The 14,081-nt window shown below is 38.1% G+C and overlaps 1 protein-coding gene and 1 long non-coding RNA gene across 12 annotated transcripts in view, besides 1 other annotated feature; one reads left to right on the top strand and one right to left on the bottom strand.

Annotated features, from left to right (window-relative positions):
* Positions 1-14,081, top strand: part of SBF2 (SET binding factor 2) — a 526,174-nt gene that overhangs the window by 432,188 nt on the left and 79,905 nt on the right. The window lies entirely within an intron of this gene.
* The window catches only part of LOC101928008 (uncharacterized), a 90,122-nt gene that overhangs the window by 56,610 nt on the left and 19,431 nt on the right, over positions 1-14,081 (bottom strand). The window lies entirely within an intron of this gene.
* Positions 9,177-9,736: an enhancer, noted in NCBI's record as "OCT4-NANOG hESC enhancer chr11:9884465-9885024 (GRCh37/hg19 assembly coordinates)". NCBI's record gives its function as "activates a minimal SCP1, AML or CMV promoter by ChIP-STARR-seq in primed H9 embryonic stem cells {active_cell/tissue: H9 hESC(primed)}" and the evidence as "EXISTENCE:reporter gene assay evidence [ECO:0000049][PMID:30033119]".

The following is a 14,081-nucleotide window of genomic DNA, read 5'->3' as shown; positions in this document are numbered from 1 at the left end:
CGTCAGTGTTTGTCATTTTAGCCATTCTTGTAGATATGAAGTAGTAGGTTATTGTGATTTTCATTTTCATTTCCCTAATGACTAATAATATTGAGTATCTTTGCATGTTTGTATTTGCTATCAATATATCATCTCTGGTGAAATCTCTGTTCACGTATTTAGACTTTTTAATTTTTACTTATTTTTTTCTTCAACCTTTATTTTAAGTCCAGGGGTACATGCAGGATGTGCAGGTTTATCACAGAGGTAAATGTATGCCAAGGTAGTTTGCTGCACAGATCATGCCACCACCTAGGTATTAAGCCCAGCATCCATTAGGTATTCTTCCTGATGTTCTGACAGGCCCCAGTGTGTGTTGTTCTTCCCTATGTGTCCATGTGTTCTCATCTTTCAGCTCCCGCCTATAAGTAAGAACATGCAGTGTTAGGTTTACTGTTCCTGTGTTAGTTTGCTGAGGATAATAGCTTCCACCTCCATCTATATCCCTGCAAAGATCATGATCTCATTCCTTTTCATGGCTGCATAGTTTCCATGGTGTATATATACCACACTTTCTTTATTCAGTCTATCGTTGATGAGTATTTGGGTTGATTCCATGTTTTTACTATTGTTAATAGTGCTGCAATGAACATATGCATGCATGTATCTTTATAATATACTGATTTACATTCCTTTGGGCGTATACCCAGTAATGGGATTGCTGGGTCAAATGGTATTTCTGCCTTTAGATCTTTGAGGAATCACCACACTGTCTTCCACAAGGGTTGAACTAATTTACACTCCCACCAACAGTGTAAAAGTGTTCCTATACTGTGCAACCTCACCAACATCTGTTGTTTTTTTACTTTAATAATTATCATCCTGGCCGGGCACGGTGGCTCATGCCTGTAATCCCAGCACTTTGGGAGGCTGAGGCAGGCGGTTCACGAGGTCAGGAGATCAAGACAATCCTGGCTAACACGGTGAAACCCCGTCTCAACTAAAAATACAATAAATTAGCTGAGCATGGTGGCGGTCACCTGTAGTCCCAGCTACTTGGGAGGCTAAGGCAGGAGAATGGCATGAACCCAGGAGGCGGAGCTTGCAGTGATCCGAGATCGCGCCACTGCACTCCAGCCTGGGCAACAGAGTGAGACTCATCTCAAAATAATAATAATAATAATAATAATAATAATAATAATAAGCGTCATCCTGTCTGGTGTGAGGTGTTATCTCATTGTGGGTTTGATTATCATTTCTCTAATGATCAGTGATGGTGAGCTTTTTTTCATATGTTTGTTGGCCACATGTATGTCTTATTTTGAGAAGTGTCTGTTCATGTCCTTTGCCTACTTTTTAATGGGGTCTTTTTTTCTTGTAAGTCTACTTAAGTTCCTTGTAGACTCTGGATATTAGATCTTCGTCAGATGGATAGATTGCAAAAATTTTCTCCCATTCTGTAGGTTTTCTGTTCACTCTGATGATAGTTTCTTTTGCTGTGCAGAAGCTCTTTAGTTTAATTAGATCCCATTTGTCAGTTTTGCTTTTGTTGCAATTGCTTTTGGTGCTTTCATTATGAAATCTTTGCTCATGCCTATATCCTGAAAAGTATTGCCTAGATTTTCTCCTAGGGTTTTTGATAGTTTTGCATTTTACATTTTAGTCTGTAATCCATCTTGAGTTACTTTTTTTTTTTTTTTTTCAGACGGATTCTCACTCTGTTGGCAGGCTGGAGTGCAGTGGCGTGATCTCGGCTCACTGCAACCTCCACCTCCTGGGTTCAGGCGATTCTGCTGCCTCAGCCTCCCAAGTAGCTGGGACTACAGGCGTGCGCCACCACACCCAGCTAATTTTTGTATTTTTAGTAGAGCCGGGGTTTCACCATGTTGGCCAGGATAGTCTCAATCTCCTGACTTTGTGCTCCACCCACCTCAGCCTCCCAAAGTGCTGGGATTACAGGCATGAGCCACTGTGCCCGGCCAGGTTAATTTTTGTATAAGGTGTAAGGAAGAGGTCCAGTTTCAATTTTCTGTATATAGCTATAAGCACCATTTATTAATTGGAAATCCCTTCCCCATTGCTTGTTCTGTCAGGTTTGTCAACGATCAGATGGTTGTAGGTGTGTGGTCTTATTTCTGAGTTCTGTATTCTGGTCCACTGGTCTACATATTTGTTTTGGTACCAATACCATGCTGTTTGGGTTCCTGTAGCCTTGTAGTATAGTCTGAAGTCAGGTAGCATGATGCCTCCATCTTTGTTCTTTTTGCTTAGTATCATCTTAGCTATTCAGGCTCTTTTTTGGTTCCATGTGAATTTTAATATAGTATTTTCTAAATCTGTGAAGAATGTCAATGGTAGTTTAATGGGAATAGCATTGAATCTATAAATTATTTTGGGCAGTATGGCCATTTTCACAATACTGATTCTTCAAATACATGAGCATGGAATGTTTTTCCATTTGTTTGTGTCCTCTCTGATTTTTTTGACCTGTGGTTTGTAGTTCTCTTTGAAGAGGTGCTTCACTTGCCTTGTTAGCTTTATTCCTAGGTATTTTACTGTTTTTATAGCAATTGTGAATGAGAGTTCATTCATGATTTGGCTCTCTGCTTGCCTGTTGTTGGTATATAGGAATGCTACTGATTTTTGCACATTGATTTTTGTATGCTGAGACTTCGCTGAAGTTGCTTATCAGCTTAAGAAGCTTTTGGGCTGAGACAGTGGGGTTTTCTAGATATAGGACCATGCCATCAGCAAACAAAGATAATTTGACTTCCTCTCTTTCTATTTGAATACTCTTTATTTCTTTCTCTTGCCTGATTGCCCTGGGCCAGAACTTCCAATACTGTGTTGAATAGGAGTTGTGAGAGAGGGCATCTTTGTCTTGTTCCGGTTTTCAAAGGGAATGCTTCCAGTTTTTGCCTATTCAGTATAATATTGGCTGTGGGTTTGTTATATATGGCTCTCATTATTATGAGGTATGTTCCTTCAATACCTAGTTTATTGGCAGTTTTTAACATGAAGGGATATTGAATTTTATCAAAGGTCTTTTCTGCATCTATTGAGATAATCATGTGGTTTTTTTCTTTAGTTCTGTTTATGAGATATATCACATTTATTGATCTGCATATGTTGAACCGTGACTAGCCTGGCCAACATGGCGAAACCCTGTCTCTACTAAAAATACAAAAATTAGCCAGGCATGGTGGCATGAACCTGTAATCCCAGCTACTCGGGAGGCTGAGGCACGAGAACCACTTGAACCCAGGAAGCAGAGGTTGCAGTGAGCTGAGATCGCGCCACTGCACTCCAGCCTGGGTAACTAAGCAAGACTCTGTCTCCAAAAAAAAGAAAAAAAAATTTTCAGGGAACTCTTATGGATAGATTTTTTGGGAGGGTTTGTTTCTAAACAGATTTAAGAATAATTTAATAGTGAATCGAATATGTTTTAAAATTTATGGGTTGATAGAGATATTAATTTTTAAAAACCAAACTAATTGGTTACCTGTGGTAGACACTAGAAAAACAACTTATTGCTTTTAAAATTGTTAAACAAAGGGATAGAATCAAATATTTATCCTGCTTTTCTAATACAGGCTATGCCTGTGGTTCACCAACAGTTGATAAGGGAAAGTTTCTCTTGATCGAAGTACTCTAACTAATGAGTGAGGAAGTAATGCTAGAATTAGAATATCACAATTTTACAACTTCTAATATTAACAAATCTGGGCATTGACAATCAACATCCTCTAACATAACAAAAGGAGAGACAAACAGATGTGCCCGGTGAGTGCTACCCCTCAGGCTAGTACTGTCTGAAGTACTCTTGCCAAACAAGCCTGAGTCTGATCAAGCATCTAGATTCAACTACTAATTTGTAGGAAAACACAGAGGACAAAAGAAATGTGTCAGATGTCACCACTGGGATGCAGTCAGACTGATGGAAACTTTCTAGGACAAATGATCCGGTTTCTTCAGCAAATAAATTGCAGGTGGAAAAAGAAACTAGAATAAAATTGATGCTAGCAATATACAAACTAATGGTAATATGTAGACCTTATTTGACCTTAATTCCTACTCAAGTTAAGCAAACTGATTGTAAAAATAACAGAAAAACAAAGACAAACTTTTTTTTTATTTTTATTTATTTATTTACTTATTTTTTTGTCTGTCACTCTGTTGCCCAGGCTGGAGTGCAGTGGCGCAATCTCAGTTCACTGCAAGCTCCGCCTCCCGGGTTCATGCCATTCTCCTGCCTCAGCCTCCCGAGTAGCTGGGACTACAGGCGCCCGCCACCACACCCGCCTAATTTTTTTTTTTTTTTTTTTTTTTTTTTTTTTGTATTTTTGTAGAGACGGGATTTCACTGTGTTAGCCAGGATGGTCTCAATCTCCTGACCTCATGATCCACCCACCTCAGCCTCCCAAAGTGCTGGGATTACAGGCGTGAGCCACTGCGCCCCAACAACTTTTTTACATTTAAAAAACAATTGTAAATTTGAACAATGACTAGATATTTGATATTAAAGAATTTTTATTGTTACATAAGTATACATTTTTATGGGGTACAAGTGATATTTTGATACATGTATACGGTGTGTAATGGTCAAATCAGGGTAATTAGAATATCCATCACCTCAAACATTTGTCATTTCTTTGTGTTGGGAACATTTCAAATCTAGCTATTCTGAAATATACAATAAATTATTGTTAACTGTAATCACCTGCTGTGCTGTCAAACACTAGAACTTATTCCTTCTAAATGTATTTCTGTACCCATTTACCAACCTCTGTTTATTCCCCCTTCCCAGTAGCCCTTCCCAGCTTCTTGGAACCATCATCCTACTCTCTACTTCCATTAGATGAACTTTTTTTGCTCCCAGATATGTGTGAAAATGTGATATTTATCCTGTGCCTGGCTTATTTCGTTTAACATAATGACCTCCAGTTCCATCCATGTTGCTGCAAATGACAGGATTTCATTCTTTTTTATGGCTGAATATTATTCCACTATGTATATATACCATGTTTCCTTTATCCACTCATCTGTTGATGGACATTTAGGTTTATTCCATATCGTGGCCATTGTGAATAGCGCTATAATAAATGTAATCTCTTTGATATACTAGTTTTCTTCCTTTTGGATATATATCCAGCAGTGGTATGGTAGATCTACTGTTAGTTTTTTAAGGAATCTCACTACTGTTTTTGCATAATGGCTATACTCATTTATATTCCCATCAGCAGTGTACAAGCATTCTCCATTCTCTGTGTCCTTACCGGCATCTGTTACTTTTTCTTTTTTTTATAATAGCCACTTTAACTGGGACAAGATAATATCTCCTTGTGTTTTTCAATTTAACTGGGACGAGATAATATCTCCTTGTGTTTTTTAATTTGTAATTTTTGTGGGTACATAGTAGGTGTATATATTTATGGGGTACATGAAATGTTTTGATACAAGCATGCATTATGTAATAATCACTTTATGGAAAATGGGGTATCCATCCCCACAAGCATTTATCCTTTGTGTTACAAACAATCCAATTATATACCCTTTTAGTTATTTTTAAATGTACAATTAAACCATTAATTACTGTAGTCACCCTGTTGTGCTATCAAATACTAGGTCTTATTCTATTTTTTTGTACCCATCTCATTGTGGTTTTGATTTACATTTCCCTGATGTTTAGTGATGCTGAGCATTTTTTAATATGCCTGTCGACCATTTTTATGTCTTCTTTTAAGAAATGTCTGCTCAATCATTTGCCCTTTTTTTGTTTGTTTGTTTGCTATTGAGTTGCTTGCATTCCTTGTATACTCTGGTTATTAATCCCTTGTTGGATGGATGGATAGTTTGTAAATATTTTCTCCCATTTTGTATGTTGTTTCTTTAGTTTGCTAATTGTTTCCTTTGCTATGGAGAAGCTTTTTAACTTGATGTAATCCCATTTGTCTATTTTTGCTTTTGTTGCCTGTGCTTTTTGAGGTCTTGCCCAAGAAATCTTTGCCCAGACCAATGTCCTGCAGCATTTCCCCAATATTTTCTTCTAGTAGTTTCATAGTTTCACGTCTTACATTGAAGTCTTTAATTCATTTTGATTTGATTTTTGTATATGGTGAGAGATGGAGGTCTAGTCTCATTTTCCTGCATATGGATATCCAGTTTTCCCAACACCATTTATTGAAGAGACTGTTATTTCCCCAGTATCTGTTCTTGGCACCTTTGTGGAAAATCAGTTGGCTATGCATACATAGATTTATTTATGGGTTCCCTATTCTGTTTTTTTAGTCAATGAGTCTGTTTTTATGGCAGTACCATGCTGTTTTGGCTACTATAGCCTTATAGTATATTTTGAAGTCAGATAGTGTGATGCTTCCAGCTTTGTTTTTTTTTCCTCAGGATTGCTTTGGCTATTCAGGGTCTTATGTGTTTCCATATGAATTTTAAGATTGTTTAAGGCTAGGACTTCCTGATATTAAAGAATTATTGTTAATTTTTTGAAATAGTGGATTTGCAAAATATTTGCATGAAATAATTTCTTATTAGAAAAATAACCAATATGCAATAACCCCAAAATGCTTATTGGTATAGATAACAATGAGAATTACCACATTTACTGGGACCCGTGTCAAGTACTTCCAGGCCCTACTAAATGGTACTGAAACCAATAATTAATAGTTGGCAGTTGAAATATATGATGATATTTATGCATCAGTGTTTATAATAGCAAACAGTTGGAAATAATACAAATGTCTATTAACAGAAACAAGAAAATGCTGTATATTCATACCATGGAATTCCATACAATAGTTAAATTGTGCAGTAGTTGAAAAACAAGACTCTATAAGCCAAACTGGCTGGGTTCAAATCCCATCTCTGGCTCTGTCACTCCCTATCAGTGTTCCCTTGAGCAAATTACTTCTTTTTGCCTCAGTTTCGCCCCCCAACGCCTCCCGCCTTTTTTTTTTTTTTTTTTTTTTTTTTTTGAGACAGTTTTGCTCTGTCATCCAGGCTGGAGTGCAGTGGCACAATCTTGGCTCACTGCAACCTCCGCCTCCCAGGTTCAAGCAATTCTTCTGCCTCAGCCTCCCAAGTAGCTGGGGATTACAGGCATGTGCCACCACACCCAGCTAATTTTTATGTTTTTAGTAGAGACAGGGTTTCACTATGTTGACTAGGCTGGTCTTGAACTCCTGACCTCAGGTGATCCACGTGCCTCAGCCTTCCAAAGTACTAGAATTACAGGCATGAGCCACTGCGCCCGGCTTTTTCCTCATTTTTAAACAGGAGAAATAATGGTACTTATCTCAGTGGGTCATAAGATTGTTGTGAGGACTAACTGAATCAGTAAATATTTATACTGAGAATGTATTATACTCAGTACAGGTTGGTTATAATAATTTTTTCTTATTTTAAATATTTTTTACAGAGATATTTCTAGTTGTCAGATAATTCTCATTACCTGAATAAATCTAACAACATAATGCATGAAAAACCAAGTTGCAGAATGAAACACAACATTGTACTACTTGTATAAAGTTGTCCAGCCTAGGCATCATAGTGAGACCCCTATCTCTACAAAAATTTTGTTTAATAATTAGCCAGGCATGGTAATGCACACCTGTAGTCTCAGCTACTCAGGAGGCTGAGGTGGGAGGATCACTTGAGCCCCAGAGGTTGAGACTGCAGTGAACCAAGATTGTGCCAACTGCACTGTAGCCTGGGCAGCAGGTGAGACCCTGTCTCAAAAAAAAAAATAAATAAAAACTGGCCAAAAATGGGGAGGATTGGGAGAATTTAGATTATATCTTATATTTTTGAGACCACCAAACCCAGGCAAAGGACTTGACAACAGTCTTGGATTTGATGTCTACCAATTTCTGGACCACAAAGGAAAGAAATTGATTTATCCTCTGAACTCTTAATATTTACTAAACAACTTAAGACACAGAATCATTAGAAGGCTAAATGGTTTAAAAACAGAGTTCAACTGGGCCTGGTGGCTCATGGCATTAATCCTAGAACTTTGGGTGGCCGAGGCGGGAGGATCACTTGAGCCCAGGAGTTTGATACCAGCCTAGGCAACAAAGTGAGGCCCCATCTCTACAAAAAATACAGAAATTAGCCAGGCATGGTGGTGTGTGCCTGTGGTCCCAGTTACACAGGAGGCTGAGGCAAGAGGATTGCTTGAGCCCAGGAGGTCAAGACTGCAGTGAGCCTTGTTTGTGCCACTACACTCCAGCCTGGGTCACAAGGCGAGACTATGTCTTGATAAAAAAGGACTTCAATCCATTCATCCCAACTACTGACATTTATAGAATCTGGCACATCAAGTGAATACTGGACAATGCTGGTGGATGAATATACCTCTCGTGCAGAAATTGTATGCCTTGATCTGAGCAATCTAGAAGGGTTATAGACCATTCTGAGTTTAAGGATACTTGTACTGTTCAATCTGAGTATCAGGTAGTAAAACAGGAAAAACTGTAGAAGATGCTTATAGTCATCCCATTTAACTAAATGGATTACTCACTATTCTGTAAATCCCACTAACTAATGAGCATAATATCCTAAATACTCATTGCTTATAGGCCATTCTCTTTCTGCTCCTGCTAACTGAGTTGTATGTTTACATAAGCCAGTTGTGTTTTGTTCCTGATTAATTATATAGTTGTTAGATGTCACATAAATAGATGAAATATGAGTTATATACATGAAAAGCATCAATAAGGGATAGAATAAAACCTGCAATATAACTTATGTATTCTTTATGGACATACACAGGTAAAAAACAAAATGGGAATGATAATATGTAATTCATGATCATGGTTACCTCTAGGATAGGAGAGAAATAGAATCAGGAGAAGTATACAGTGGACTTGTATGTATTGTATGTCCTTTCTTTAAAAAAAAAAAAAAAGAGAGAGAGGGAGGGACAAAGCAAATATGTTTAAGATTTGATAAAGCCAGGTTTTGGATACAATTTTTTCTATTCCTGTCTTCCTTTTGTTTGTCTCTCAAGACTAAGCAAAAGAAAGACTCCCAATTTCATCAGAAAATGCTCTAAAATTAATTATTAAAGTGATTTAATATCTGGACTTGGTCAGGCCAGAGCAGAATCACAGGAGGACTTGCTAGCACCATCCCTGAATTGTGCAGTTAGTTAGGTACACTTATATTCCAGGGACCAGAACTAGATAGGAAATCTCCAGCAATTTAGACAATGAATCTCTCTATTATTCTTTAAGACCATTACATGTTTATGGAAAAGACCTGCCAGCTAGCCTTCTTTCCTGAAATCTGGTTTTCCCTGAGCTCCCAAACGAGAGCCTTGAGCTTGGGGAACTAACATGTCTAGCCAGACAGGCCTTCAACAGGCCCCTCATGCTGATATCTTAACCTTTCCCTTAACCATCTCATCTCTCAGATGATTTGCATCCTTTATTTGGATTTGAATCTGGCCTGCTGGTTGGTGAGCCCCATGAGTTTATTCTTCATATCCTGTCCCATGCTGGGTTTCCTTTGAAAGCTTTGTGGAAAATGAATGGCATTGCTTAATCTAGTACCTTCACGGGCTGTTTTTTCTAGATAAAGAAGGAAGTCAACACATTCTTAAACATCTCATAAAATTGCATGGCACAATACCACTTTTTTTTTTAGGACAGAATCTTAAAAATTATTATGAAATGTAAATATTGTTGCCAGAATTGAAGAGAATGAAAGAGAGATGTGATTTGACAAAAGCATTCCCAACCAGCACCACCATCTCACACCCTCAGTATGAGTTAAATCTCATCTTTGTGCAATATTAAAAGATTATGATGCTAGTATACAGACCAATTTGTAAAACCATCTTGTCTTGGGAAAGTTTTTCTTCAAACCAGAGAAATTATTAGAATCAAAAAAATAAAATAAACACAAAATAATAAAAAAAATTTTTTTAAATAAATTATCACAATCAGAAGATAGTTTTATCCATAGATGCTTATTTTCTCTGTTTACTAAAATTACTGCTACTGTCCCAGGTTATACTGAATTTGAAACCCTAAAGTCTCATTACATCTTTCCCTACATAATTATATTACAGGTTTGTTTTGTAAAATATGTTCATTTTGTATCTTACAGAAACAACGTAGAGTAATGGAAAGCTTTATTTCTGTTCCCATCTGTTCTACTCATCTTACCATATGACCCTGAACAGTTCTCTTTCTTTATAGATTCTCTCAAATGCACAGTGAACACCTGAAATATTTACCTTACCACCCACTTTCTAGCCCAAGCTGACTGCAAAGTTCCATTTTTGCAATTTGTAGATCAAGCCATGATGGAGTCTAGGCAGAATAAAGTGATACTGCCCTCTGCTGGTCCTGAGAACACCCATCAGTGGAATGGCCCTGCCCATCCTCACTGAGGGACACAGTGCTCCCTGCTTGTGGTTGACCAGACAAAGCAAGAAACCACAAAGAAAGAAGGCAAACTGCATGTCTAGAAAAAGAATAATATTTTAAGTATTTGGGGGTTAATGATTTCTAACGCACATATCAGGAGATCATTTTATCTGCAGGCACTTATTTTCTCTGTTTACTAAGACTACTGCCACTATCACAGATGCCATAGCCGTTTGTGTCTGTCTTGCCACCAAGTGTTTGTACTATAGTCACTTCACCCTGCTGTAATGCTCACCTAGTAAACAGGCTGTGGGTTCTGACCCTTTGGGCCACTGTCACTCTGTCTTGCACCGTTTTTCTTCCTTGGAACATATATAGTCCCACTTTTGCTCAAACTATTTAGATTAGTTTTTGCATATTCAACTTTTAGTTTGTGCATAAACATGAAGATACAGGTTGAGTATATCTAATTCAAAAATTTGGGCCACACTTGGTGGCCTAATCCTATCCCAGCACTTTGGAAGGCCGAGGTGGGGGGATTGCTTGAGGCCAGGAGTTCAAGACCAGCCTGGGCAACATAGTGAAAACCTGTTTCAAGAAACATTTTTTTTTTTTTTTTTTTTGAGATGGAGTCTCACTCTGTTGCCTAGGCTGGAGTACAGTGGCGCGATCTCAGCTCACTGCAACCTCCACCTCCCAGATTCAAGCAACTCTCCTGCCTCAGTCTCCCAAGTAGCTGGGATTACAGGTGCCTGCCACCACACCCAGCTAATTTTTGTATTTTTAGTAGAGACGGGGTTTCACCATATTGGCCAGGCTGGTCTTGAATTCCCAACCTTCAGTGATCTGCCTGTCTCAGCCTCCCAAAGTGCTTGGATTACAGGCGTGAGCCACTGTGCCTGGCCTCAAAAAACATTTTTTAAAATTAGCCAGGCATGGCAGTACATGCATGTAGTCCTAGCTACTCAGGAGGTTAAGGCGGGAGAATCCCTTAAGCCCAGGAGTTCTAGGCTGCAATGATCTATGATTGTCATCAGCCTGGGTGACAGAGTGAGACCCTGTCTCCAAAAAGAAGAAAGAAAATTCAAAATGCTCCAAAATTCTAAACTTGTAGTGGGCTGGCATGATACTCAGAAGAAATGTTCATTGGAGCATTTCAGATGTCAGATTTTCAGATTTAGAATGCTCAACCAGTAAATATGATGCAGATATTCCAAAATCAGAAACACTTCTGGTCCCAAGTATTTCAGATAAGGGACATTCAACCTGTAATGTCAACTCAAATGTGCCAAGGAAAGCAAATATACACCATCAGTGTGAAAAATACTGAAGAAAGGTGGGGCTTCATTACACCCTCAGATTCCTGTACATCTCTGTTAAGTTTTAATAAAAGATGTTTAATTAATAACTTTTTTGGCATGCTGATTATCCTAAAAGTACTTTGTGAGAATCTGATAAGGATTTGTTAAAAGCTCAGTTTTTTGGAGTTTATCTATATGAATATAATTTCAAGACTTCAACATTTTTAGAGTTGCCATTGATTATGTTATGCTGCATTTGTAAGAAATGGTACTGCCCTGAGTATACTCATGGTAAAGGCAGTTGAGAATTACAGTTTTATCTCATTTGAATTTAGTGCCTTTAAAATCTCTTTCAGGCTGGTCATGGGGGCTCACATCTATAATCCTAGCACTTTGGGAGGCCAAGGCAGGTGGATCACTCGAGCCCAGGAGTTCAAGACCAGCCTGGGAAATATGATGAAACCCCATCTCTACAAAAACCCCATCTCATCTCACTGCAACCTCCACCTCCCAGGTTCAAATTTTTCTACAAAAAAAAGCTACAAAAATTGCTGGGTGTGGTGGAGCACACCTGTAGTCCCAGCTACTACAGCTACTAGGGAGGCTGAGGTGGGAGGATCTTTTGAGCCTGGGAGGTTGAGGCTGCAGTAAGCCATGATCATGCCACTGCACTCCAGCCTGGGTAACAAAGCCAGACCTTGTCTCAAAAAAAAAAAAAAAAAAACTGTTTCAAAATAGGCTTGTGTACTGCTACTGAAACAATTGTTGGTCCTTACAGTAAAGGACTAAAAAATGAAGGAGGAAAAAGTGTGTAATCCATGTCCCAAGTGTCTTCATGCAGAGTATAGAAGGAGCTTGTGATTCAGTGTGTGTGGCTTCTGCTTACGCACTCACAAAACCACACACATTTTGTTCATGATTTCCCATAGGTAGACAGTAACTGTTTCTTAAATGAGCAGATAGGCATAATGAAATCCAACAATGATCCCTGTGCACCCTCAAAGAACTCCTGATTTTTGCTTCATAGCCACAACTTACAGCCACTTAATAGGGAGAATTGAGGTTATAGCCAGTTACCTCAGCAGCAGTAACACAGTCCTATCTTGAAAGGGTCTTACAGATGGCATGTAGTACACAGAGACTCTTTAAGGCAAAATCACAACCACCCAGCTTCTAACTACACAGGTACTACATTTCGTGGTATGCAGTTCTAGACCAAAAAGGAGATTAGCATGTATTGAGCGTGTAATTTTTACCAGATGTCTTATATATCTGGTATACGTCCCTAAGAAATGAACCAACTTTTGTTGTGTAACAGTTATATAACCTTAGTAATCATCTTCAGTGTCCAGCATTTCAGGAGAAGACACTCAGCTTATTAAATTGCTTCGAAAGAAAACTTATCAGAAACTTTAGTTCTACTCACAGAAAACAGATGAACTCAATTCCAAAGAATAAAATGGGCCAAAAAATGTTTATTGAAAATGGTACCTACTCTTTCTTGGAAAATTATGAATTTTTAAAAATTTGAAACATCCTTAGCTTTTAGAGGTGGCAGAAATAGTTTTGGAAAGTTGACTCAAGTCACTAACTGAAATTTGGCAATGTAAATTATCATTAAAATTTAAAATGCAATGTTATACAAGTTTTTTTCAGAGGTTCCAAGGTAGAATATTACTTTGGGAAACAAAATCATAAAGTGAGGGGAAAACAGAAGTGCTAATTGGCAGTTAATTTGGCATTTCATTTATTTTGATTTACTTTCAGTTCTTTTGAAAGACAATTTGGTGTTATAAAAAGAGCAGGGGTTTTGGAACTAAACAAACTTAAATATATATGAAGTGCCTTCTAAATGCCTGCAGAGTTCATTTTCCTTCCCTCTGTTGTTAATCACCTCTTAAGTTTACTCTTACGCTGAAACCCAGCAGGAAGTCCCTGAAAGGAAGGAGGTTTGGTTTGTGTTTATCTTTCCCTGCACAAATTTGGTTACCAGAAAATGCCCTTGAAGCCCAGGGCAGTCTTCTAGAGAGTATGTGAGCCAGGCAACAGCTTTGGCGGGGAGGTAATGGGCTGGAATGAGCAGTAGGAAAAGTGCAGTTCTCCTGAGTCCCTAATTCATGCTATATCCTCATTCTGTGTGTAAGGCCAAGCTGTAGGTTCACTCATATTTCAGTTGCTGTCTCTTTAAAAAGAGTACCCTAAAGCCATAGAAGAAATGTTAAATTATCTGGAGTTTTATGTTTACATCGTGATGGATTTTATTATATGCCCTAATTGTAATAATATTCACTAAACCTACAGTGCCTCCTTTTCCTGTATTTTCTAATTGATATAATAACAGCTTTGATTTTTAGCTGTTACTAAAATACCCATTTTGATAAAGTGACTGAGACTCTCAAGGATCCAACAGCAA

This window comes from Homo sapiens, chromosome 11, assembly GCF_000001405.40.
Source record: "Homo sapiens chromosome 11, GRCh38.p14 Primary Assembly".
Taxonomy (NCBI): domain Eukaryota; kingdom Metazoa; phylum Chordata; class Mammalia; order Primates; family Hominidae; genus Homo; species Homo sapiens.
This window is presented reverse-complemented; position numbering and strand designations above follow the sequence as displayed.